The 26,676-nt window shown below is 40.7% G+C and overlaps 1 long non-coding RNA gene across 3 annotated transcripts in view, besides 3 other annotated features; it reads right to left on the bottom strand.

Annotated features, from left to right (window-relative positions):
- The window catches only part of LOC105373891 (uncharacterized), an 87,352-nt gene that overhangs the window by 49,306 nt on the left and 11,370 nt on the right, over positions 1–26,676 (bottom strand). For 2 of the 3 annotated variants that reach the window (XR_923928.3, XR_923930.3), the window contains exon 1: positions 25,105–25,228. The exons of the other annotated variant lie outside the window; for it this stretch is intronic. This is a non-coding gene — a long non-coding RNA (uncharacterized LOC105373891). Of the gene's footprint in view, positions 1–25,104; positions 25,229–26,676 lie in introns of those variants that run through there. 3 annotated transcript variants of the gene reach the window in all.
- Positions 16,306–17,505: an enhancer, noted in NCBI's record as "P300/CBP strongly-dependent group 1 enhancer chr2:220833104-220834303 (GRCh37/hg19 assembly coordinates)". NCBI's record gives its function as "activates an origin of replication core promoter dependent on BRD2, BRD4, P300/CBP, MED14 and CDK7 cofactors, with strong dependence on P300/CBP, by STARR-seq in HCT116 cells {active_cell/tissue: HCT116}" and the evidence as "EXISTENCE:reporter gene assay evidence [ECO:0000049][PMID:35650434]".
- Positions 19,895–20,560: an enhancer, noted in NCBI's record as "OCT4-NANOG-H3K27ac hESC enhancer chr2:220830049-220830714 (GRCh37/hg19 assembly coordinates)". NCBI's record gives its function as "activates a minimal SCP1, AML or CMV promoter by ChIP-STARR-seq in naive and primed H9 embryonic stem cells {active_cell/tissue: H9 hESC(naive and primed)}" and the evidence as "EXISTENCE:reporter gene assay evidence [ECO:0000049][PMID:30033119]".
- Positions 20,561–21,226: an enhancer, noted in NCBI's record as "OCT4-NANOG-H3K27ac-H3K4me1 hESC enhancer chr2:220829383-220830048 (GRCh37/hg19 assembly coordinates)". NCBI's record gives its function as "activates a minimal SCP1, AML or CMV promoter by ChIP-STARR-seq in primed H9 embryonic stem cells {active_cell/tissue: H9 hESC(primed)}" and the evidence as "EXISTENCE:reporter gene assay evidence [ECO:0000049][PMID:30033119]".

Here is a 26,676-nt window from a genome sequence, read left to right as displayed (position 1 = left end):
GTGGCTCACACCTGTAATCCCAGCACTTTGAGAGGTCAAGGCAGAAGATTGCTTGAGGCCAGGAGTTTAAAACCAGCTAAACATTGGGTACTCATGAACATAAAGATGGCAAAAATAGCTGGGCGTGGTGGCTTACACTTATAATCGCAGCACTTTGGGAGGCCAAGGCGGGTGGATCACTTGAGGACAGGAGCTTGAGACCAGCCTAAGCAACGTGACAAAACCCTGTCTCTACAAAAAATTAAAACATAGCAAGACTCCAGCTCTACAAAAAAAGTTTTATAAAAAATTAGCCAGGTGTAGTGGCACATGCCTCTAGTTCTATCCACTCAGGAAGCTGAGACAGGAGGATCTCCTAAGCCCAGGAGTTAGAGGCTGCAGTGAACTATAATCATGCTGCTGCACTCCACTCTGGGTGACAGAGCAAGACCCTGTCTCTAGAAAAATTAAAATTAAAATTAAAAAACTAAATTAAAAGGTAAAAATAATATAGCATGCAGTCCTAGGCAATTAAAAGTTGAGAAAATAAAGTAGTAAGTGCCTTTATGTTAAGTCAACAAAGTACTCAGATAACCCCAAATCCACAGATTTAACCCAGCACAGTCAAATTGAAAAGTGTCAGGACTGAGATCTGGTTTTACCCTTGTATACAAGTTAATAATTTAGCTAGTTACTGTTTCATGGGTGCTAGCAGAAGGCAAGAGATTCCTGGGTCAGAGACAAAGGACGTTATTACTCATAGCACAGCAAGAAGCATGAGCATCAGCATGTGTATCCATTCTCCTTGCCCCCACATCTTATCGGAGCAATATTGTGGGCCCAGATGGATGCTCTGCACACAGTAGGCTCGCAGCACAGATGAGGAGCACTGAGCTTAGGGAACATGTTGTTTTATAGTAAGTAGTAAGCAACCCTGTTTCCTATCCCAAATAGAGACATTACCATATTTCTCAATCTGCTCATAGTAAACACAATACTAGCAAATGTCCAGGTAAAGAATGGTCAAAGCTTAGCATTGTTAGCATAGCCAGCAAAAACTACAGGGATGCTCAGAGCCCATGGCAGATTGCCTCTTGCAACAATAAGTAGTCTCTGATTGTTAAGAGATAAGAGAGCTGGCTGTTTGTAGTAAGGACAAGCCTATAGCAGGTACAGTTATCCTGAGACATAACATGCCATCTGTCTATCTTTATGAAGAATCTAAACTCAGAGCATGCGTATGTGTGTGCTCTTACTTTTCCCAGATGTATTTCTGTAAACCATATTTGTAAATCAAGTTATATTTTAAATATTCTAAGAGAGAATCCTGTAGGCAAATTCTTTTATAATGGAGATACTCATCCCCTAATTCATAATTCACAATTTATACATTTGTGGGGTTATAAATATTGAGTTTTCTTAAAGCAGTCTATACCTATACTAGTGCAACCCTGCCATTTATAATGAGTTGCAGTAAATTATAAAAAGCAAACATTTCAAGCATGTCTCATTTGACCACACCTGTAAAATAGTCATAGACCAAATGGATCCCATTCCAACTTTAAAACTATTCCAGTTTTCTTTAAAACTTCCCCATAACTATTTTTATATTCCTCAATTCCTGGGTCAAGCCAGATGCTTTGGGTGGATGATCTTATTTGTTGCAATTCAAACCCAGTATAGTAATCCCCCTATACACAATCTTCTAGGCACAAATTAGAAGGGTTGTCATTAAAAAACTTTAGAATTTGTATTCTTTTTCTGTCTCATTTTCCTACATAATTCTTGACCTAGGTTTCCTCCCACAAAAGACTCACTCCCCACACCAAGAATATGCTGTTTTCTTACTGATAGGAATTTGGAAATTCCATCATTATTGCTCAACATGGCAAACCTACAGGCATATCAGGAAGAAAAATGTCTGCTTTTCTCTTGAGTAGATTACATTTCATAAACATGTGAACCATAGTAGCAGTGAAATCAGGTCAAAGTGACATAAAATATCATTTCCCTGCCAGACAAGAAAAACAAAACACTAATAATAAGAAAGAGAATTTGTAGCACCTGCCAATGCTTTTTAATAGTCCTCCAGGAATCCACAGAACAGAGCGAAGAACATAGAAGGTGCAAAACAAATTTTGTTGAAAATAAGAAGGTAGCTAGGCATGGTTGTTCACATCTATAATCACAGCACTTTGGGAGGCTGAGGCGGGAGGATCACTTGAGCCCAGGAGCTGGAGATTAGCCTGAGCAACATAGAGAGACCCCATCCCTATACAAAATTAAAATATAAAAATAAAATAAATTTAAATACATATATATATATATATATATATATATATATATATATATATATATATATCCCACTCAGTATAATCTAATACCAAGTCTTATATTGGCATAACACTTTCTGACTTATACAGTATTTTCACATGTACACTTTCATCAGATGCTCACCACAACCCAAGAAGGAAGGGTAGGCAAAATACTTGGGTCAAAAATACAGAACATACTGCATGTTCTCACTTATAAGTGACAGCTAAATATTGAGTACTCATGAACATAAAGATAGCAACAATGATAGCCGGGTGCAGTGGCTCACACCTGGAATCCCAGCACTTTGTGAAGCTGAGGTGGGCAGATCATTTGAGGCCAAGACTTTGAGACCAGCCTGGCCAACATGGCAAAATCCCATTTCTACTAAAGATACAAAAATCAGCTGAGCGTGGTGGCGCACGCCTGTAATCCTAACTACTCAGGTGTCTGAGGCGTGACAATCGCTTGAACCCTAGAAGAGGAGGTGGCAGTGAGTCAAAATTCCACACTGCAATCCAGCCTAGGCAACAGAGTGAGACTGTCTAAAACAAAAAATTAAAAAATTTTAAAAAGAATGGCAACAATAGATACTGGGGACTAATAGAGTGGGAGTAGGAAGAGGGGCAAGGGCTGAGAAACTAACTACTGGGTACTATGCTCACCACCTGGGTGATGGGATCGATCATATCAGCATCACACAGTATACCCATGTGACAAAACTGCACACCTTGAATCTAAAAAAAAAAAATTTTTTTATTTTTGAGGCTGAGTCTCACTCTGTCGCCCAGGCTGAAGTGCAGTGGCACAGTCTCAGCTCACTGCAACCTCTGCCTTCCAGGTTCAAGTGATTCTCCTGCCTCAGCCTCCCAAGTAGCTGGGATTACAGGTGCCCGCCACCACACCTGGCTAATTTTTTTGTATTTTTATTAGAGACAGGGTTTCATCATGTTGGCCAGGCTGGTCTCGAACTCCTGACCTCGTGGCCCGCCCTCCTCGGCCTCCCAAAGTGCTGGGATTACAGGCGTGAGCCACCGCGCCTGGCCAGCATTTTAAAAAATAGGTACAAAAACTGATTTTCTTTCAAAGGACAAAAACCAACAAACTGATCCCCCTGAGTCCTTTGTTCTTTCCAACGCCTTGACTCCATGCTTGGTCACTGGAAAGTGTCAGGCAATTGTTATTACCACCTACATCCAGAGATGGGACCAAATGACAATACACAGTTCACTCTCATCTCTACAGGGAACATAAAGATGACCACTGAGCTGGCTAACATCAAAGGAGAAATAAGAGAGTCAAATTTGTAGCCGCACATCTTTCCTGAGCAGGACTCAAGAAGCTTTAATCTGCCCCATTGCTCATTGCTTCTTCTGTAAGGTTTTAGAACCACCAAGCTAATGGCCTTGCTTCAAGGTTTGATCTGATATTTTCTCTCAACAACCTAATTTGTTGCCTCTTATGATGACATTTTGCTTCCACGTTTAATGCTTAGAACTGTCTAATTTTCTTACCTATCTAGATTTCCAGGAAAATTGATGCAACCTTGGGTCTGAGTTTATGGTAAGTGACATGCTCTTTAAACAGCCTCTGGGTATTGTGCCTGGTTTTCTCTACTTTTCCACCTTATTTTTTTCTCCTCTTGACCCCACTTCCTCATTCTTAAAAACTCCTGTTTTAGTGGTATTGTGGTTATCTTTAGAAAAACTTGGAGATACATACTGAAGGCACTGTGGATGTAACAATATGACATCTAGGATTCAATTTAAAATAATCTGATAGTAGTCTCAGTTTGGGGGTGGATGAAGCAAGACGGTACATGATCGGCCATTTGCTGTGGTAGATTGCTACACAATTATGTAAAAGCAGCCAGAGACTACATGTATAAGAATGAGTGTGACTGTGTTCCAATAGAACTTGGTTTATGGATATTAATTTTTTTTTAATTGAGATAGAGTCTCACTCTGTCGCCCAGGTGGAGTGTAGTGGCACCATCTCAGCTCACTGCAACCTCTGCCTCCTGGGTTCAAGCAATTCTCCTGCCTCAGCCTCCCAAGTAGCTGGGATTACAGGCATGCACCACCACGCCCAGATAATTTTTTGTATTTTTAGTAGAGATGGGGTTTCACCATGTTGGCCAGGCTGGTCTCGAACTCCTGACCTCAGGTGATCCACCCACCTTGGCCTCCCAAACTGCTGGGATTACAGGCATGAGCCACCAGGCCAGGCCCTCTTTCTTTTTTTTTTTTTTTAAAGACAGGGTCTTGCTCTGTCACACAGGCTAGAGTGCAGTGGCATGAACACAGCTCACTGCAGCTGCAAACTCCTGGGCTCAAGCCATCCTCCTACCTCAGCCTTCAGAATAGCTGAGACCACGGGTGTGCGCCACCACACCTGGCTAATTTTGTTTTTTAATTTTTGTAGAGATGGAGTCTCACCATGTTGCCCAGGCGGGTCTTGAACTCCTGGGGCTCAAGCGATCCTCCTGCTTCAGCCTCCCAAAGTGCTGGGATTACAGATGTGAGCCACTGTGCCTGGCTAAAAACAATTCTTAGCTCACAGGCTGTACAAAAATAGGTGGCAAGTTGGGTTTGACCCTTGAGCCATAGTTTGCTGACTCCTGATCTAGCTATATATCCTCCACTCTCACCCTCCCTAGCTATTTCCTCAAGAAGGCCCCACACCCTTGTTCCCCGTAATAGTTCTCTATTTCTTCTGTACAAATTACCCAGAATTTAGTGGATTACAACAACATAAGCTTAATCTCTTACAGTCCTAGTGGTCAGAAGTCAAATAGGAGTTTTATAGGGCTAAAGATCAAGGTACCTGTAGATAATGATTCTTCCTGGAAACTCCCGGGAAAAATCTGTTTCTTGCTTCTTCCAAGTTCCAGAGGCTGCAGGTATTTATGGCTGCATTACTCCAACTTCTGCTTCTGTCCTCACATCTATGACTGACTCTCTTGCCTCCCTCTCTTTTACTTATAAAGACCCTTGTGATTACATTGGGCCCACTGGATAATGCAAAATAATCTGTCCATGTAAAAATCCACAATTTAATCACATCTGCAAAATCTCATTTGCCATGTAAAGTAATATATTCACAAGTTCCTGAGATTGGGACGTCTTAGACATCCACGGAAGGCAGGGTATTGTTCAGCCGACTACACTCCTATTTAGATTTTCACAGTGTCAGTGCACACAAAAGAAGGTGGCCCCACTTAGCATGCAGAGACCTTGTGTTCACACAGAAGGTGATTTCCCTTCTCTCCTTATTGCCTCCAATAAGAGGCCCCTTCTCCCCACAGAGCAAGGGGAAAGCTGAAGTCAATATTTTCTCTAATCTCATCCTGTGAATCATGACCATTAAACAAGACACTGCTCCAGTAAGTGATGTAACTCCTAAATCTTTGAAAACTCTCTCAATTCTAATACAAAAATTAGCCAGCTGTGGTGGCATGCACCTGTGGTCCCAGCTACTCAGGAGGCTGAGGTGGGAGGATTGCTTGAGCTCCAGTTAAGGCTGCAGTAAGCCATGATCATGCCACTGCACTCCAGCCTAGGCAACAGAGCAAGACACCGCCTGAAAAAAATAAACAGAAAAATACTAGAAAACTCTCTCAATTCTGGCCTTGTTTTCCTCTGAGTTATTTTTAAAGTTACACAAATTCTTCTCAAAGGCATGCCAGAAATTTGCTTTCAGCTTCTTATCTATGCACAGCGCAAACAATTGCATTATACCTAAGAGAATTAATGTGATTTAATTATATTATATTTGGGGGTATTTTAATATCAAACTTCTTTTGTATGAGGAATTATTTCTGGGTGAAGTTAAACTCATTTATTATACTCATTCTTTATTCATTAAACTCATTAAGATCAGTGGGATTTGCTTATAAATAACTATGCTACTGATTTGAAACATAGCAGATAAGTGAGGATATTCTAAGAGTACGAGAGCATGATGCCTCTTAGTTATTTTCTTGGGAATTCATATATTGGGATTCTATGTGTAGCACTCTTGCAAGACTAAATATGTAACATTTAAAGGTTCTCTCTTGTCTTACAAGGGGAAGATGGACAATAAAGAGAATATTGTCTTTCTCAGGAATCTGTTAAAAGGTGCTAAAGCCAGGGCCAACACGTGATTATATACAATATTCACTGCACAGGGTTATCCCCCAAAAAGGAAAGTGAGGCTGAAATCTGACCCATGCTCTGCTACCAAACCGTCCATCCTGGGACAGCACTATCAAAAGGAAGGGAACCTTTCTTAAATCATACAAAGTCACTGTGTCATTGTATGTCTATGGGCCTAGGCAGCCCCACTCATAAGGTGTGCCCTTTTCTACTTTGCAAAGTCACCCCATGGACTAGCACAGGCCTTGGCTAAAATCCACTTGGGCTAGCTTAAGCAAAAAAGGGAAAATTATTGCAAGATTATAGGTATTTTCTTGAAACCCAAGAGCAAGCGGTATAGTAGATATCATGTAAGATTAGAACAAAAAAAAACAGCTGTTAGTAGAGGGAGGCGATAACCAAACAAATCAATATTTAGTGGTATATGTAGTCCTTACAACAACCTTGTGATATGAGAATAATCTCATTCCATAGATGCAGTCCCAGTTGGTAAGCGACAGAACGTTCCAATCTAGGTGCACCTATTGACAATATCCTTGTGCTATCCACTATTTGACACAGCCTCTCTTGCCCTGGACATACAGTTGGTGTTTCTTAGTCTGTTTGTGTTGCCATGACAAAATATCTGAGACTGGGTAATTTATAAAGAATGGAAATTTATTACTCGTCATTCTGGAGGCTGGAAAGTCTAAGATGAGGGCATTTGGGGGCTGGTGAGGGCCTGGTCTCAACTTTCAAGATGGTGAGCCTTGTTGCTGTGTCCTCTGTAGGGCACAAATGCTGTGTCCTCACATGGCAGAAGAGGGGAAAAGGAAGAAGCCTAAGCTAGTTCCTTCCAGCCCTTTCACAAAGCACTAATCCTTTCATGACAGCAAAGCCCTCTCTCATGACTTAATCATTTCCCAAAAGGCTCCATCTCTTAAAACTACCACATTGGGGATTGTTTTAACACAAGAGCTTGCGGGGACCGATGCAGACCATTGCCGTGCTCTAAGAGATACTCTGCGGTATTTCCTGTACTTTTTCTTGCAGGAACAAAGGAGAAATCCACTTCCCCCTTGACATTAAGCTTATACATGTGATTAGCTTTAGCCATGGACCTAAGAAGCTGCATGTGTCATATCCAGTTAGAAGCCTGTAAGAGCCAGTGTGTGATTTTCTCTTCTCTCCTTCCACCATGGTGACCAGAGGCATTCCAGGGAGTGGTGACTCTCTCAGCCTGCATCCCTGAGAGAGGACAATGTAGAGTCCTCAGCCAACCTAAATTTGTAACTCGAATGAAAAAGAAACTCTAGTTGATTTAAGCTAAGATTTGGGCTTGTTTGTTTCTGAAGCATAACCTAGACTATCCTGGCTGATACAGCTGTTAAGGGCCTTCTCTCTATGTCTAGTAGCTGGTAAATCTTCTCACCCAGTGAGCCACACAAGTTCTTCCCTTTTACTACTTGCCCATATCCTGCCCATCTTTTACAGGGCAGCTAAAATCTCTGCTGCTCAAAAGGATTTCCTTAACCCCCACAGCTGGCATTAATCCTTACTATTAGTAATTATAATCATACTCATTATCAACATCATATAAATTAGAACTCAACCCCATCACACATAACATATATTCCATCATATGCTGTTTTAACTTGTTTCTTTCTTTGGGAGATGTCTTAACTCTCCAACTAAATGAAACAATGAAACAGCCTTTTGTGGGCAGCAATCATATTATATATTTCTGCAGCCTCCAGCAGAGTGGCCAGAATGTTGGCAGGTAGAGCATAGAGACCCAATAAATAGCTATGTCATCAAACTGTCCCAGAAAAGAAACACAGGACAAAAGGAACAGCAATTCTAATCATTCTGTGCCCTGCATACCTAGGCAGATTTGAACAGTGGAGCACTCTTCCACATGGAGGAGAGAAAGAGTTAAAATTTAGTACACTATATCCTGAGACAGCTAACATCTTTGGAGGTTATATTTCTCATTAATATAAAAGAGTTAATTATATATCTTGGAAATTCTATTCACACCAAATCTTCCTTTAGGGTTAAGTCATGCATGATCCATTTATATTCAGGCATTAGCTTTGACAGTGTCTTGTTCTGTAGGGCTGTCTTATGCGCCTGCCCTAAAGATCCATGGGGGCTTTAGGAAGCTGTTCTCAGAGTAGAACATTTTGCTGAGAAGATGACCTACACTGCAAAATACTGTATATAACCAAAGGCAGGGCATAAATATTTTATAGCATAGAGTCCATGAAAACACATCTTCATTTCTGTAATGTGCTATCTCAGGACATATCACTGGGGGAACAGGACTTGCCTGAAAGATTCAACAGCTCCAATTTGCCATAGCTCATTAGAATGCCCTAGAGAACAAGCACAGCAAATAATTCTAGATCCCTGCTGCTCGTGGGGTAGTTAATGTGGACTGACCGCACAAAAACCACCTTGTGCTTGCAAAGCACATTCAACAAGGAATCAGACAATGTAGGCTGGGAGGAGCCTCCAAGACATCCTTTTCCTGTACTTGCAGAAAGGAGGCCCAGAGAGATTATATGAATTCTCTGAAGTAACACAGTGAATTGGGGTTAGACTCACTGTTAGTCCTTCCTTTTTTCTGACATAACCACAAAATAAAAACCCGTGGGTAAAGCAAGAACAGTAAACTCATCCACTGATTAGACACATTCTCGACTTTGAAGTCAAGTATCACGTTACCATTGTGGCTTTCAGCAAGTGGTGCTGTGTGTGAATATCTGCAAATAACTTCAAATTTCTCATTAATAAAATATGTTTCCATAAATACCATGCCTCATGGAATCCCTCTTTTGGCATTTGTACATCAACATCTATCATTAATGCGTCAGTGAGAAAATTATTTCCCAGTAAGTGCTCTATAGTGATGAAGTAAATTCCATTAAATTCCATTTCACATCATTTTTTTTCCAGTGATTTCCCACTTTGTTCAAAATTAGGTATACCCACCCAGGTCTCTTGAACCAAGATGTCACTACACTGTGTAATTAAATTCTAAAATAAATAGCAAGTCCTCAATACAAAACTGACCTTTTTGACTCGGAAAGTCCTTCAAAACTTCAACAGAAAAACTAGAAAATTCTTGTTGTGAGTTGCCAGTGAGACTAACAATAGCTTTGTTATCCCTTTGTCAAGCCAAGGCAGACAAGGAAAGAAGGATTCACTTTTTCACTTGCTATCTGAGGTTTCTTTTACGCTTCCTTAGATTTGAAGAAATCACTCTATAACCCTGTTTTCAAATGGTCCTTTCAAATGTGGTTTGAATTGTACAGAGATGAGAGAAAAGGGTGGCCCCATTAAAGGCAAACCTAGGCAGAAGCCCATTAAAAGCAAAGCTGAAATCATGGAGCTTCTCAGCAATGCCACTGCTGGCTTTGGAAGGAAGAGTGATCAAATGATAAACAACACAGTTGCCTGAGAAATCCTAATTTAGAAAAAATAAGTCAAGCATTCAGCTGAAAATATTATTGAGCTAGCAGTCACCCACCTGACACAGCCTCTCCTAACTTCCCACTAAAAGACTCTCATGGCACTGGGAAATGCCAAAATTCCCAACAACAAAAACCAGCAGGGAGGTCAATCTAATTCCAGAATCCAGAAAGAGTCTCTAGTGTGCATTAAACTAAACTGGACACCCAAATTCCCCATTGTACCATATGAAGGATCCACCTTTGTATTAGTCTTTACTCATGCTGCTAATAAAGACATACCTGAGACTGGGTAATTTATAAAGGAAAGAGGTTTAATTGACTCAAAGTTCCATGTGACTGGGGAGGCCTCACAATCATGGTGAAAGGTGAATGAGGAGCAAATGTCTTACATGGAGGCAGGCAAGAGAGCATGTACAGGGAAACTCCCATTTATAAAACCATCAGATCTCATGAGACTCATACACTACCACAAGAACAGTATAGGGGAAACTGCCCCCATGATTCAATTATCACCACCTGGCCCTGCTGTTGACAGGTGGGGATTATTACAATTCAAGGTGAGATTTGGGTGGGGACACAGCCAAACCGTGTCAATCTCTATGAAATAAAAGATGACAGATTAGAAGAGAAGGGGCTGAAAGACAGAACACTATGCTGTAGATCCTACCTTCCTTCCTATTAGGAAATTAAGTGCGTATTAAGTGTGTGTGTGAACCAGAAAACTGTGTAGGTGCTGCTCCTTCACGGGGCTACAATGTGGCCTTCTTATAACTGTACATATTCCTTCAGAAACAGTGACTTTCTATAATCACTTCAGAAGCTGGTTTTCTGTCTCCCCTCAAAATAATACGGGCAACCTGTGGCGCACTGCATACTGGGAAGTGTGGTCTCCATAGGTAAAGTAGTGCTTTAGGGTCAAGGAGGGTGAGACAAGAGCATTCTGGGAATTGTGGTTTTCTTTGTGCATGCACTGTTTCAAAGAATCAATGAAATGGGCAGTGGACTCCCAGGAGCTGAGTTGCCTGTTCTATATGGGGATTTTCACTCATAGAGTTGTACCTTCAGCACACCTCCACTCAAGAAATGAGGAGCATTAACCATCAGCTAGATGGATGGAGAAAAGGGTGAAGGGCAAGTGAATAGACTAACATGGTCATTTGGCAAACTCTGGGTCTATATAGATCTTGCTTTATTCAAGGAAGGAAAATAATAAACATCATAGGGTCTATGGGGAAATGCAGCGAGACAAGAGAAAGGGGACAGTGTCTTGAAGACTAAGAGATAGGATATACTTCTGAAAATATATTACCTAGGGATAAAGAAGAAAAGCTGAAATTTAAAAGGATACAACACAAGGCTTCTATTAAAAAGTCAACATACAAAAGAAAACAACAGAATGATATGAAAAAAAAAATCAGGTCAGATAAGTGATATGGTTTGGCTGTGTCCCCACCCAAATCTCATCTTAAATTGTAGTTCCCATAATCCCCACGTGTCATGGGAGTGGCCCGGTGGGAGGTAATTGAATCTTGGGGGTGGTTACCCCCATGCTGCTGTTCTCATGGTAGTGAGTGAGTTCTCACCAGGTCTGATGGTTTCATGAGGGGCTTTTTCCCCTTTGCTTGGCACTTCTCCCTGCTGCCTCTATGTGAAGAAGGTCATGTTTGCTTCCCCTTCCACCATGATTCTAAGTTTCCTGAGGCCTCCCTAACCCTGCAGAACTGTGAGTCAATTAAACCTGTTTCCTTTATAAATTACCCAGTCTCAGCTATGTCATTATTAGCAGCGTGAGAACGGACTAATACAGTAAGAAAAGACTGCCCCAAACTGAAAACAGTAATACCTTCACAGTGACAGTGACGAAGGTAATAAAATACAATAAAAAGTCAAATCAATGAATCACAGGACCAATTTGAGATGCTATCTGAAAATGCAATGGGCAGACATGAAAACAATGAGAGTAAATACAGAAGGAAAATGGAAGAGGAAAAATAAAGAATAAAAAGTAAAAAATAGGGATAATTGATGTTTTTGAAGAAAATACCAGAATAAATAAAACTAAAGCAACAATAAAAGATGAAGGGAAACTATCTTAGGTGAAAGAAATATGGATATGCTGTATTCTGTTTGAAAGGATTTATCATAAACCAGAAAAAAAATCAATGAAAAGGGGCATCTCACCTAGATTAAATTTTGCAATTTCTAAAATGTATGTGAATAAAGAAAATATCCTTCAAACATCCAAATAAGGAACAATAGGTTATCTATGAAAGAAAAAATAATTGAGTCAGCCTCAGACTTCTGTTCCATAACACTAATTGCCAAAAAATAATTAGATAGTATCTAATGAGTTTGAAGGGCAGAAGTCCATTTGTCTTTTATGTGTAAATACAATATGAAATTATTCTCAGATATACAAAGGCTAAAAATATATATTACTCATCTAGCTTTTCTTTTTTAAAAAAAAATCACTTGATGTAATTCAATCAACCAAGAGATTAAACAAAGATAAGGTTTTAAGAATGAAGAAATCAAGATATGAAAGAACTGGTGAGACACACTAAACCCAGCTGACCATAAAGATAAGTCTAAATAATTGTGGCAAATGTGACTATAACACCAAACACAAAGGTCAAAATTTATTCTTGAATGCAAAATCATATAATGTAAAAAAAATGCATTAAGTCACAGTTATCAGGATTTGAAACCCAGATTATATAAACAAAGTTGGAGAAGAAAAGAAGAACACTGACAGTATGCTAAATTTCAAATATTCGCTAGAAGTGACTCAAAGATACTGGTTTGGCTGGATTTTTACAATTAGAGAAATATAATCTAAAAAAAATGCATTAAGTTACAGTTATCAGGATTTGAAACCCAGAATATATAAACAAAGCTGGAGAAGAAAAGGAGAACAGTGTGACAGTATGCTAAATTTCAAATATTGGCTACAAGTGACCCAAAGATACTGGTTTGGCTGGATTTTTACAATTAGAGAAATACAGGTTAAAGAATCTTTTTGAAGACCTTAAAATTACTCATTAATAGAATGTAAAAGAGAATGCCTACTTGGGAAAGACAAAACAATAAAAACTTAGCATTTAGCAATAACTATAAACAGTCCAAATATCTATCCATAGGATATTGATGAAATAAATTACTATTACTCCAGAACCATAAAGGAATAAAATACAGCCATTAAAAAAGTCAGATCATAAAATACTTTGCCTTGGGAAAGAAAATGTAGACAGTATAGGAAGTAGGAGTGAGAGTTTCAAAAAGTTTGTGCCCTGTAATCCCAACTTTGAAAAACATAATATTTTATATATTATGTATTTTATATTTTAAAAAATACAACCATGGTGTGGGGTGGGGAGAAGACTAAAAGGATATCTGCCAAAAGGTTAACAGCAATTATTTCTATTTTCTTCCACTCGCTTTTCAGAATATAGGTAGAGTTTTTGACAAAACACACTTAAAATAAATATTAACACCATAAATACAAATCAGTTTCATGCTATGTATCAAGGATCAGCAATTTTTTTTTCTGTAAAGGGCTAAATAATATTTTAGGATTTTCCATTCATATGATCTCTGTTGCAACTATTCAGCTCTGCCATAGCACTGCAAAAGAAGCCAGACACTATGTAATCTAATCAGCATGACTGTGTACCAATAAAATTTTATTTACAAAAACTGCATTTAGGGCCACAGTTTGCCTACTGCATATCAATATCTGATATTGAAGTTTTAGAAATGATTTAAGTGTACTATTTTTCTGTTTTCTGTAATTGTTTAGCGCAAATAGTGTGTTTCTAGATCAGTACTGTCCAGTGGAAGTTTCTCTGATGTTGGAGATGTTCTATATTATTTGTGCCATCTCATACAGTAGTCAGTCACATGTGGTGTTGGGCACTTGGAATGTGGCTAGCACAACTGAGGAGTTCAATTTTAATTTATTTTAATTAATTTAAATTTAAATAGCCACACGTGAACAATATTGAACAGTGCAGGTCTAGATCACATGCTATTTGTCTATACTTTCCATTGTGCACACATAGAAGGGTACAACTACTGATTTTACCACTCTGCTTTCCTACCAGACAACATCGTCTCAGACTCATTGCTTCTTAATTCTTATCAAAACTCTCTTGTGAGGAATGAACATGGTGAAGATTGTCTGAAGGACACTTTTTCATCAATGTACTTATGCATGTGTCTAACAGTATTGACTCAGCTCCAACTATGTGCAAACACTATGCCAGGCTCTGAGAAAAAAAAAAATGTGAGTGGCCCTACCCTCACATTTTGTTCCCCAAATGATTTAAAGATGCTAAAAAATAAAAATGAATAAAAATGAGCACATGTTCCAAATACACACTGCCTCCAGGGGAAACAACTTAAATGTAAGAATAATGGCTGGGCACAGTGGCTCACACCTGTAATCCCAGCACTTTGGGAGGTGGGAGGATCATGAGGTCAGGAGTTCCAGACCAGCCTGGCCAATATGATGAAACTCTGTCTCTACTAAAAACACATAAATTAGCTGGGCATGGCAGTGTGCACCTGTAGTCCCAGCTACTCGGGAGGCTGAGGCAGGAGAATCACTTGAACCTGGAAGATGAAGGTTGCAGTGAGCCGAGATCACGCCACTGCACTCCAGCCTGGGCAACAGCACAAGACTCCATCTTAAAAAAAAAAAAAATAGCAAGGCCAGGCATAGTGGCTAATGCCTATAATCCCAACACTTTGAGAGGCCAAGGTGGGAGGACTGCTTGAGCCCAGGAGTTCAAGACCAGCCTGGGCAACTTACCAAGACCCTGTCTCTGCAAAAAAAAAAAAAACAATAGCCAGACATGGCATGTGTCTGTGGTCCCAGCTACTCAGGAGGCCAATGCAGGAGGATCCCTTGAGCCCAGGAGGTCAGGGCTATAGTGAGCCACATTCACACCACTACACTGTAGCCTGGGAGACAGAGTGAGACCCTGTCTAAATAAGTAATAAAATATCATAATAATCAGGGCTATGGTGAGCCACATTCACGCCACTACACTCTAGCCTAGGAGACAGAGTGAGACCCTGTCTCAATAAGTAATAAAATATCATAATAATATATAATAAGTTTTTTTTAAAAAAGAATAGTGAGAGGTTGATTGTAAAAAGGTGAAAAGGAGCCCATAATAATTAAGTTATCAGGGAATCTGCAGAACTAATGAGGGTTGCCCGAAGGGCTAGTCCAATTCAAATCATGTATGCTTAACACTCTGTAGGCCAAGTAAAACCTATCTGCAGGCAAGAGCCAGCCCACCAGTGGCCAAACAGTAACCATCTAATTTCTACCTTGTTTAAACCCAGAGGAGAAATTTCTATCCTGAAAATCTGGGTTTCAGCTGATTGATAAATACACATTCTTTATCTTACGTGTAAACTATAAATTTTTTTAAACATAATTTACATTATGCTTAAAATTAAGTACAAAATAAACACAAAAATTTAGACAGTAATTTGATGAGTTTTACAGATGGATATTCCCAGGTAACAACCACCCTAGTTGAAATTTAGGATGGGAGCTGCAAACTCTGGCCTGCCACCTATTTTTGTATGGCCAGAAAATAATGGATTTTATATTTTCAAATAGTTGAAAAAAATTAATAACATTTCATTGCATGTGAACTATATATGAAATTCAAGTTTCAATGTACAAATAAAATTTTATTGGGACACAGCTATGTTCATCGTTTACATGTCTATGGCCACTTTTTGGCTATAATGGTAGAGCTAAGTAGTTATAACACAGACCATAATATGAAAAGCCTAATATGTTTACTATCTTACCCTTTGCAGAAGAAGTTGGCTGACTCCGACTTACAACAGTGCCATCATACCAGCAAATTGTCTCATGTCTCTTTACAGTAAATTTTTCACATATTATACCCATCCCCTGCGACCACTGATCTGATTTCTCTCCTTGTAGATTACATTTACCTATTCTAGAACTTCATATGAATTATATAATATATATATCTTATTTCTCTGGCTTCTGTCTCTCAAATAATGTCTGTGAAATATATCCATGTTGCATATACCAGCAACTTGTTCATTTTCATTGTTGAGTACTATTTCATTGTATGAATATACCACAATTCAACTGTCTGTTCACCCTGGGACAACTAAGTTGTTTCCAGTTCTTAGCTGTTATGAATAAATCTGCTGTTGTCATTCACGTGCAAGTCTTTTGCGTACAAGTCATGAATGAGTCTCTCAGTTACTTAGTGGAATTGCTGGGTCACAAGATAGGTATGTGTTTAACTTCATAAAATACTGCCAGACTTTTATTCTCTTACCGGCATTGTGTCAGAGCCCAGTTGCGTTATATTCTAATAGCACTTGATATTGTCAGTCTTTTTCATTTAAACCAATATAGTGAGTATAATGTGGTAACTCATGATTTTAACTTACATTTCCTTCATGACTAATCATGTTGAGCATCTTTCAATGTGCTTATTGGCCTTACATACATCTTCTTTCATGAAGTATCTAAACCGAACATTATAACCATTCCTGTTTTTTCTCCTTTGCTTTGGTACTTAGAAGCTTAGAGCTTAATTAGAGGCCTAAATATAACAATTATACAGGATTTCCTGGCATGTTGGGGCTCCAACTTGAATTTTTATTTCATCATCTCTTTATCCCCTTATTTCCTTTCTCTCCTAAATTTTCATCTACTTAATTGTTATCCTGTGTTTTCAATTTTTTTTTTTTTTTAGCATGACTCAATCTTATCTTGGAATGAAGCCGGTTACAACCAAAGGAAAAAGGGCTGAAATCGGCTGGCTTACCACTTACACACAAGGAACTGTGTTGGGCCCTGGGAATATGGAGAAGAATATATCCCTGCCCTTCAGGAACTCATAGGAAAAGAAGCCAGAAATTAAAAAACAAGGCAACAAGTGCAGCAACAGAAGGTGCTCCTGAAGGACCCTGGGGCGTGTGGGAGGTGAGGGGGCAGGAGCTTTCGGGAGAAGATGATTCTTGACTGTGTGTTGACTGAAGAATGAGTCAGCAGTGCCCTGAAAGAGTGTGGTGCCCTCGGGGTGTGGTGGATGTGGGGATGCATGAGAGAATATTGTAGAACTATTAATAGGAAATATGTGATGCCAAGGTGTGTGATGTATTCCAGGAATGCACACGATTTAGCACAAGTGGAACACCAAGTAGGGAAAGTCAGGAAGTGAAGAATAAGTCATGTGACATCTAACAGCCCAAAGCAAGTCACATGGCCAAACCCAAAGTCAAAGGGCAGGGAGACATCACTCCTCTTTAGTGGCAGGAACTGCAACGTTACATTGTAAAGGATGTAACCAGGGCGAGGATGAAGGATTGGGGCCATTCATATACTCTATCCCAGCAGCTTTCCATGGGAGAAGTGTTAAGTGCCTACAACAAAAATCTGGACAACAGCTCAGACAAAGTGGATTTCTGAACCACATTTGGGTACAAAGGGTAGGCCGGATGATGTAGTTTCATTCCTCTGGGATAGTACAGGGAAATATGAGAACAGCACAGAAGATTTAGACTGTTCCAGAAATCCATTTCTAAATAGCTACAACTCAGGTACCAACCACAGAGGACAAAGGGAACCCGAGCCTCTTCTAACAAACTGAAATCTACCAAATGCTGGTAGATATCACACTGTTCTCTGGATTGGATTTTTGTATTTAAAGCTAAAAACAGAGATTCTGCCTCAAAAATTCATGTCAGCATTCTATTGCTCAATTATCATTATGCACGTGAGTATAACCATCCGATGGTTAAACTATAGCTGGCACTAATGCAATTGGATTGTTAAAAAATATTCCTGAGCACCACTCTTATCCCAGTACTAGTTAACTGCTATGCTAATGTCTTGGCACATGAGACTAATAATGAAATGAGTTATAACTGTGTGTTTGGATCACATTACATTGCTTCAAGTGTATCATAATATTTTATAGCTTAATGGAGAATCTGGCTTATAGCAATACAGGAAAAATAAATCTCAGCCAATCATCATCCATTAAAAAAAGAAATCTACGGTCAGCAGCCGACAAGATTTTAACCATCAATAACAATTACCCTGAAACCTTTTTGACACAATAGGTAGATATTTAATAACAATAACATAAGATACACCCTTGCTAATGGAGATATATTAAGATATTGATTAGTTATGCAAGAAAGTTTATGCTTATTCCATTGCCACTAGTAATTATGAGCAGGCTGTTGACTACTCCTTGAACCACATCTTTTAGTCCATTTCCCTTTTTCTACCCAAGAGTATACTTGGCTGGCAGATAATCAGAACAAACAGACGTTCCTAGAAAATGTGAACCATATGTACAACCTAATGCAGCAAGCGTTTGCTGAATGCCTACTACGTGCACCCTAACTGTGCTGGAGGTGCCAGGACTACACAATGGAAAGGGACAACCCCTTTGCTCAAGAAGCTTATGGTCTAGTGGAGGACAGAGAGAGGACCAGAGCACACAGAAAGATGGGAATGGGGCATGCAGAGAGGCAGCTAAGCCAGCCAAGTGGGGAATTGGAGGAGCAACTAATGACTGTACCAGAAGGCAGAGGAAGCAGAGGAAGGGCTGGGAGGAAGCAGGGGAGCTGGAGCACAGGCTGTAAGAGCGGTGCCTTTTCAACATTTTTCTCAGGTTAATTTGTAGACATGACAGTTGCTAGGACACTAAGGGGAAAAATGTTAAAGGAAGTAATGGGAAAGCAAGATGTGTGGAGATGTATACAAAGGCAGCGGAGGACTGGGGGCTGCCTAACACATTCACTAACCCAACCAGAGGGCCTAGCTCAGTTCCCCGCAGGGATGCTGGGGCCCAGCTGCTCCTCCCAAGCTGGAGGTCAGGCCCTCAAAGGAAGCACAAGTGTAACCACCTATGGGTTCTTCCTGCCCATCTCACAGACAAAAACAATTCATTGAGACCATGACATTGCAATAAAGGAAAAGTTTAACTGACACAAGGCCAGCCATGCCACTTGGGAGACAGAGTCATTACTCAAATCAATCTCCCTGAAAATTCAGAGGCTAGTGTTTTTCAAGGATAGTTTGGCAGACCAGGGAATTGACTTCGGGTGGGGACAAAGGACTGGCTGGCGGTTCCAGGTTAGAGCCATTGGTCACCAGAAATGCAAAAACCTGAAAAGACATCTCAAAAGGCCAATCTTAGGTTCTACAATAGTCATGTTATCTTCAGGAGTAATTGGGGATGTTACAAATCTTGTGACCTTTGGAATAATGGCTGGTAAGACTCCTCATTCTCCTAACCTGGTGGTCTTTCATTAGCTTTACAAAAGTGGTTTAGTTTTGGGGAAGGGCTAATATCATTCAAATTATAAACTAAGTAGCTCCCAAAGTTAGCTTGGCCTAAGCCCAGGAATGATTAAGAGCAGTTCGGAGGTTAAAAGTAAGATGGGGGTTGGTTATATTAGATCTCTTTTACCGTGATAATTATCTCACTGTTAAAATTTTTGCAAAGGCCGTTTCACAAGGGTTCTAGGGCTTGGAAGGGGAAAGTTCAAGACCAAGGGTGAGGAGGAACAGACAATGGGAATTCAGAAGAGGATCCATGGAGGAGTGGCATTCGGGAACAAAATAACTTGAAAATGATTCAGAAAACCAATGTGCTTTTTTTGTATTTCAATCACTATGGATGATTTCAAAGTAAGTTTCATAGTCTCTGTCTCTTTCTCGGAAACGCCTGCCTTGTAGTTTCCATGCCTACATTTAGAAGGGGTGGTGCCAGCCCCCATGCTGACCCTGGATCCTTACTTCCTGCATGTGTGATGAGCACAGAGGTCTAGAAGAGTCTCAGAATTGACCAAGGAGCCAGAGCTACCACTTTCTGGCAGCCAGTATCTTATCCACCAGCCACACTGGACTTCATGAATCCCCATATCGCTCTGGGCATCAGGAAACCAAATGGTGAAGGTGCCACCCCTACTCTGTCAGGTCTTCCAAGAATGAAGCTCATTTGCAATGCAAAGCAACATGAAAAGTACATTCTTTTAGCATTGAAGACATGTGCCAATTCCCCAGGCACTGGAAAATGGCAAAGACTGACGTTTTGATGTTATTTTTTAAGGCATTTTTAAAAAAATAAAGATTCCCATTTTTTCATTCTCCTGAATAGAACAGAGGTAAATGGAGTGAGAGAAAAAAAGACTCTTAAAATATGATCTGGTTTTTTTGTGTGCAGGCTGCTTAGAATGCCACTGCCTGCAGGCTATAGGGGAATTCAGATGAGAGCATTTCCTTCATTCCAAATTAAAAAACAAGGGAACTAGACCTCAAGGCTATTTCTGCCTTGAAACTCTTCCTCAAACGTGGTGTTTCACAATTACAATACAGCGATTAACAAAGAATGATTTTCTTTCAACTAGGAGTTGAAGTAAAACACAGACACCCTGCCGGTCACTCTTGGTGGCAAAGTTGCTGCAAAGCAAATAACAAAGAACTGGGGGCTTACTATGGCTTTCTTATCAGAGCCAGTCAACAAGAGGTTTATATATAATGGTTTATACAAAACCTAATTTTCTGCTTTGATGCCCAGGGAGGGGGTCTCTGCCTCACTACAGGGGTTAGTAAAGTACTCCCTGCACACAGAAGGTAATTCCAATTAGATCATGGTAACCAAGACCTCTAAAGCTCACCAGAGCCCCATAATTGCCTCTACCTAAAACTGTTGTAACTCAAGGCAAATGTTAATGCACCTTTGTACTGCTGAGTCCCTGATGCTCTAACTAAAGTTTCATCCAGCCCTTCTAATGCCTATCCAACACCTTGGAGTATCTGTCTTCTTCAACTAACTGGTGAGCATCTTAGAGCTGGCCACATCCCATTCATCTTCCTATTCTCAACTCCTACTGCAAGATCTGCCTACTGGTAGGCAACTACTATGTGCTTGTTAAATAAACGATGCAGACCTTGACCCCCAGCAAGTTTGTCCCTTGCCCAAGATCACAGCTAATTAGGAACAGAAACAACCCAAGTCTCCCAATTCCCAGGCCCTTGTGTTTCTTTCTCAATGCCCAGAAATGAAGTAGGATATTTCCCTGACCCCTTCACAAGTGGGAACTGGAGAGCACAGGCACTAGAACTAGCCACTGCTTTGGTGCCAGCAGGGGTGGACTCTACTCGCTTGGTCCCACTGTCTTCCACCCTCGTGGGAGGAGGGGAAGCACAGGTGAACAGGTGCAGGAGCCAGGGCAAGTGTTTTTGGGTGCCAGCAGGAGAAAAACTATGTGGGCCCCACAGCAGTGTCTAGTGGGGTGCCTGTGACCCCTAGGGCCCCAGAAGGAGTGTTACAGTGCCCTTTTAGCTTTGCCATCTGCAAACAGCTTAAGTGTTAACAGCTCAGTGGAGGATCACTGTGACAGCCTTTTGCACCCACACTTGTGGCACCCGAATTCTTATCCAGCATCCAGGAGGAATGAGGTCGCACAAATGAATTGGAGATGGGCAATGCAGGGAATTTTATTGCCGATGAAGGTGGCTCTCAGCTGGAAGGTGAGCTGAAAAGGGGACAGAGTGGGAAAGGAAATCTCCGAAGTTACGACATCAAGCTGTCCCTCTGAAGTCAAGCCGCTTCTATCTGACATCCAACTGTAGTCTCTGACAGTCTCCAACAGTCTCCTACATCCAGCTGCTTCTCCTCTCTGCTGGCTAAGCCTGGGGTTTTTATGGGCATAGGATGGAGGGCAGGGTGGGCCATGGGTAGTTTTGGAAAAGGCAACATTTGAGCGGGAAAACAGGGATGTAAGTTCTCACTTTGGGCTACAGTATCAGGCTTTTCAGCTTGAGGGTAGGGCCCTTGCCAGGGACTCACCCTTTTCTGCCCAGAATTTCCCTGAATCTTGTCCCTATCTGAAGGGGGTCAGAGATTATTAATAATGGCTTCCACTTATTGAATACTTACACACCACATCCCTCCTCCGGTACTATGCATGCATTATTAATCTTTGTTACAACCCTAAATGATAGACAGTCCCTATTTTACAAATGCCCAACCAAAGGAGGCATTTGTCCAAAGTCACAGACCAAGTAAATGGCAGAGCTGGTGAGTGGGCCAGACCAGCCTGTCCCCACATCCCATGCTTTCTCACCCCAGCATCATCTCCTCTCTAATGAACAGAAACCAAAAACATTTGTTGAAATGAATCACAAATGGCAAAAAACCCTGGTTACCAAACCACACTGAGGCCTGCTCGCCCAGTGCAGTAAGGCCAAACATTTACACCTGAGATTTTGCAGAAAAGGAAAGAGAAAGGGAGGTGTTTGTTTATGGGGCACTATGTAAGAGAACTAGGTAGTTCATGCTTAAGACCCCCCTCCACAGTGGCTTATAACAGGGGTGCCCAATCTTTTGGCTTCCCTGGGCCACATTGGAAGAATTATCTTGGGCCACACATAAAATACACTAACCCTAATGATAGCTGATGAGTTAAAAAAATAAATAAATAAATAAATCACAAAAAAATCTCATCATGTTTTAGGAAAGCTTACAAATTTGTATTGGTCCACATTCAAAGCCATCCTGGGCCACACGCGACCCACAGGCTGTGGGTTGGACAAGCTTGGCTTGTAAGCAAGGGTTTTTAAAGTCAGGGCTAAATTTCAGGGAAGCGGAAGTTACAGGCAAAATTATAAATCAATACATGAGGTTAAACATGGGTTTGTCCTGAAAGGGTGTGTGGTATCTTGAAGTAGGGACTTACAGGTCATAAGTAGATTCAAAGATTTTCTCATTGGCCAAGGAAAGGAAGCTTTCTTTAGATGCTAGCAGAAAAGAATGTTAGATCTGGCCCATGGATCTCACTTCCTCCAGGCCCCTCTGGAAGAAATTTAGGACAAAGAATGGTTCTCAGAACTCAGTCCTCAGTTCTCCCTTATCTGAGGTCTGTGTGCCAGTGGATTCACTAGGTGGGGGTCTGGGTTTCTGAAAAAGAACCCAAGGACTAACTAAGATGTTATCTTTAGTTTCTACAGGGGACCAAACGTCTCCTGACTCTAACTTCTTTGGCTATTGTTTTAAGCTATTATTACTTTCTTTCTTATCAAGTCACTCACCAACTTCTCAGGGCTAGCTAGATGCCTGGAATTTCCCTTAACGGAACTCCAGGTACTTCTTCATTTTCATGCCTGAGAAGGAACCAGCAGACCCCTAAGAGGGGTCCATGCTCCATCTCACCCTGACATGACTCAATAAATAGTTGATGAATTTTTTTCAAAGGTATGAAAAACATTGGTTTCCTTTCAGTGAGTATGTTATGAAAAAAATCAGAGTCAAATTAAAAATAAGAAAGGAGAGAAAAAAGTGTTTGAATAAGTTGTTGTACCTGTTTAAATAGTAATAAAACACAAACTAAGGTCCTTTCGGTACAAAAACATGAAGAGGTAAAATCTGCCTGAGAGTTGGGAGGACCCACAGGATTCTGGGAGCAGCTGTCTGCTATGTGCTTTGGTCCTGAGAGGTTAGTAATTTAAGGGGTTCATAAAAATAAGCAAACAAACTTTCAAAAGTCTGGACCTACATCTTCCTCTAAAAAGCCAACAAAGAGTTCCCGCTAAGAGATTGTCACAAACATACAAAGAATCATATTACAACCTCAGCAGTCTTACCTACAGCTTGGAAATGTGATCTTTTCTGCTCAAATGTGGTTGAAGTTTGTTGGGACTGGAAAATAGATTACTCTTTCCTTAAAAGGGCACGCTGACTGCTCTGTGGCTAACACAAGCAGGTTATATCTTGGCTGATTTAGACTTTACTTGTGTCAGATCGGACCCAAACACGTGTCTGGTCTGATTCCCCCTCTTATCCAGACAGCTGGGATCATGTGGGCTTTGGAGATTTGAGCCCCAGGATACTGAATGCTGGTCATGAGACTCAAGCTCCACATGCAAGAATAAGAACTGCAATCAATTTAGAATACTGACTCCAACACCTTGGACTGTTTGAACAAAACAGAAGCAGGAAAGATATAGTCCAGTCTCCTCATTTTATAGATGAGGAAACTGAGACCCAGAGAGAAGGAACCTGTGGACTTACAGACTGTTCTGGAAAATGCCAGTCTGGAGATCACAAGGCCAGTCTAGCAGAATGGCTATGTTTGTTGTTGCTGTTGCTGCTTCAATTGGAATTAATTACAAACATTTAAAAATTAGAAAGCTCAATATGGTGGTTCCTAAACATAGAATTACCATATGCTCCAGCAATTCTACTTCTAGGTATGTACCCAAAAGAATTGAAAGCAGGTCAGTCAAACAGATATTTGTACACCCATTTCCATAGCAGCATCATTTACAATAGCCAAAAGGTGGAAGCAACCCTTGTGTTCATCAACAGACAAATGGATAAACAAAATGTAGCGCATACATTCATAAGTGAAATATTATTCAGTTTTAAAAAGGAAGGAAATTCTGACACATGCTGCAACGTGAATGAACCTTGTAAACATGATGCTAAGTGAAACAAGCCAGTCACAAAAGGGCAAATACTATGTGATTCCACCTACACGAGGGACCTAGAGTAGTCAAATTCATAAAGACATAAAATAGAACATTGGTTACCAGGAGTGGGGAGTTATTGTTTAACAGTTTGGGTTTTTCTTTTGGGAAGATGAAAAAGTTCTGGAGACGAATGGTAGTGATGGTTACACAGCAATATGAATGTATTTAAGGTACACTTAAAGATGGTTTAAATGGTAAATTGTATGTTATGTATATTTTATCACTGTTTAAAAATTAGATGTTTCTATGTAAATACCCAGACTTCCAGTGTCATTTGAAAAATAGAAGGGCTGGTGACAGTGGGCCCGCATCCCCACAGAAATCTGCACAGCAGCTGCCCCCTTAGAGAAGATGCTCTCCCATTTTTTGTGGCCACCCCCTATGCCCTCTTCATCCCTCTCCTTTATCAGCTGGGCACCTGAAGCCACCAGTTCCCAGACTTGGCTATGTGAAAGGAAAATATCCTGGGCCCCCAAAATCACTAAGCTAAAGGGAAAATTCAAGCTGGGAACTGCAGAGGGCAAACATGCCTCCCATTCTATTCAAAGCCATCCCTCTGCTGAAATAAATGCATATGTGACTGCCTCCTTTGGAAAGGCTAATCAGAAACTCAAAAGAACGCAACCGCAACCGTTTATCTCTCATCTACCTGTGACCTGGAAGCCCTCTTCCTACTTCGAGTTGCTTCAAGTTGCTTTGAATTCTCCTGCTTTTGCTTGAGTTGTCCTGCCTTTCTGGACTGAATCAATGTTCATTTTATATATGTTGATTGATGTCTCATATATCCCTAAAATGTATAAAACCAAGCTATGTCATCAGAACCTCCTGAGGCTGTGTCATGGGTGCACGTCCTCAACCTTGGCAAAATAAACTTCTAAATTAACTGAGACCTGTCTCAAATTTTGGGGGTTCATAGCTACACACTGGAATCAGCTGGAGAACTTTCTGAATACCCCAAACCATACCCCAGGCTCCACCTCAGATAAGTGAATCAGAATCTCGGAAGGGTGGGGCCCAGGCACCAGTAAGTTTTGAGAGCTCTTGAGGTGATTCTAAGAGGCATCTGGAACTGAAGACCGCCTGGGTTCCTGCTCTGGGACTTGGCTGCACATTGATATTACCTGGCGAGCTTTAAAAATGACTGACGTCTCCTCCTACGGGTTCTGTATTAATTGGCATAGGGTGTGGCAGGAGATCAGGATTTTTAAAAGTTTACTGGGCCATTGAATATATGGCAAAGATTGAGATCCACTGCTCTGGGCATTTGAGTTTATATCCCATGCTGCAGACACACAGCACTTATTTCACCTCCACCCCACCACCCTGCCAAATTAAATACATAAATAATACATACAATTATGTTATATGTTTTATATACATATATATACTTACATACACACTGTTGGCTAAAGGAAAAAAATGTCAAGCTTTTAAAGAATTAAAGTTAGTTTCATTCAAAAGTCTGATGGAGGACAATAAGACTGTAAATCAAGGCCTCCAGCCACGGAGCAGTCCTGGCAGACCACCAAGGCAGTGTTTCAGCCCATTACTTACATACAGGTGGTGGAGGTTCTGAATGTACAAATTCATCTCCAACTTGTTCAGAAGTTACATCGAAGTAAGGATCATATCAAGGCTTCAGTGTGAGAGTATATCTGGTCATAGATTACAGAAGCATAGTCACCAACCCCGTTGGACATTATCTTCTGTGTAGCAAAAGGCAAAGCTAAGTAGTGACTCAGGCAAGAGACATGGGAAGCACGTGCCTTACCCCATTTTGTCTTCAAAGCATCTTTCCAGAGAGCTGCAGGTTGTCACTGAGTCAGGGGGTTTGGGAAATTATGCTGGCAAGCAGAAATGAACAAACATGGCTTCTTACATTTGTTACTTTGTCTACAAGACACACACACACACACGCACACACACACACACACATCCTATGAGATCAGTAATTTAAGAGCTCATAAAAATTAGAAAACAAATTGCGGCATGCACACACCCACCACACACACACACACACACACACATACACACACAGAGTCCATTAGCCCACCACCTTACTCTCCATGGTTGACTCCAAATTCATCCCACAGACCAGAGATAAAGCTTCATTGGAACACACAGAATAGTTTTCACATTGGAGTTCTAGTGATGAATGAGTAATTGTAGTTTCTTTGGAATTGAAGACAAAACCTACTCTTTTCTTGAGCATTTACTGCAC

The sequence above is a fragment of the Homo sapiens genome, chromosome 2 (assembly GCF_000001405.40).
Source record: "Homo sapiens chromosome 2, GRCh38.p14 Primary Assembly".
NCBI lineage: Eukaryota > Metazoa > Chordata > Mammalia > Primates > Hominidae > Homo > Homo sapiens.
The sequence above is the reverse complement of the archived record's forward strand: the minus strand, read 5'-3'. Positions and strand labels throughout refer to the sequence as shown.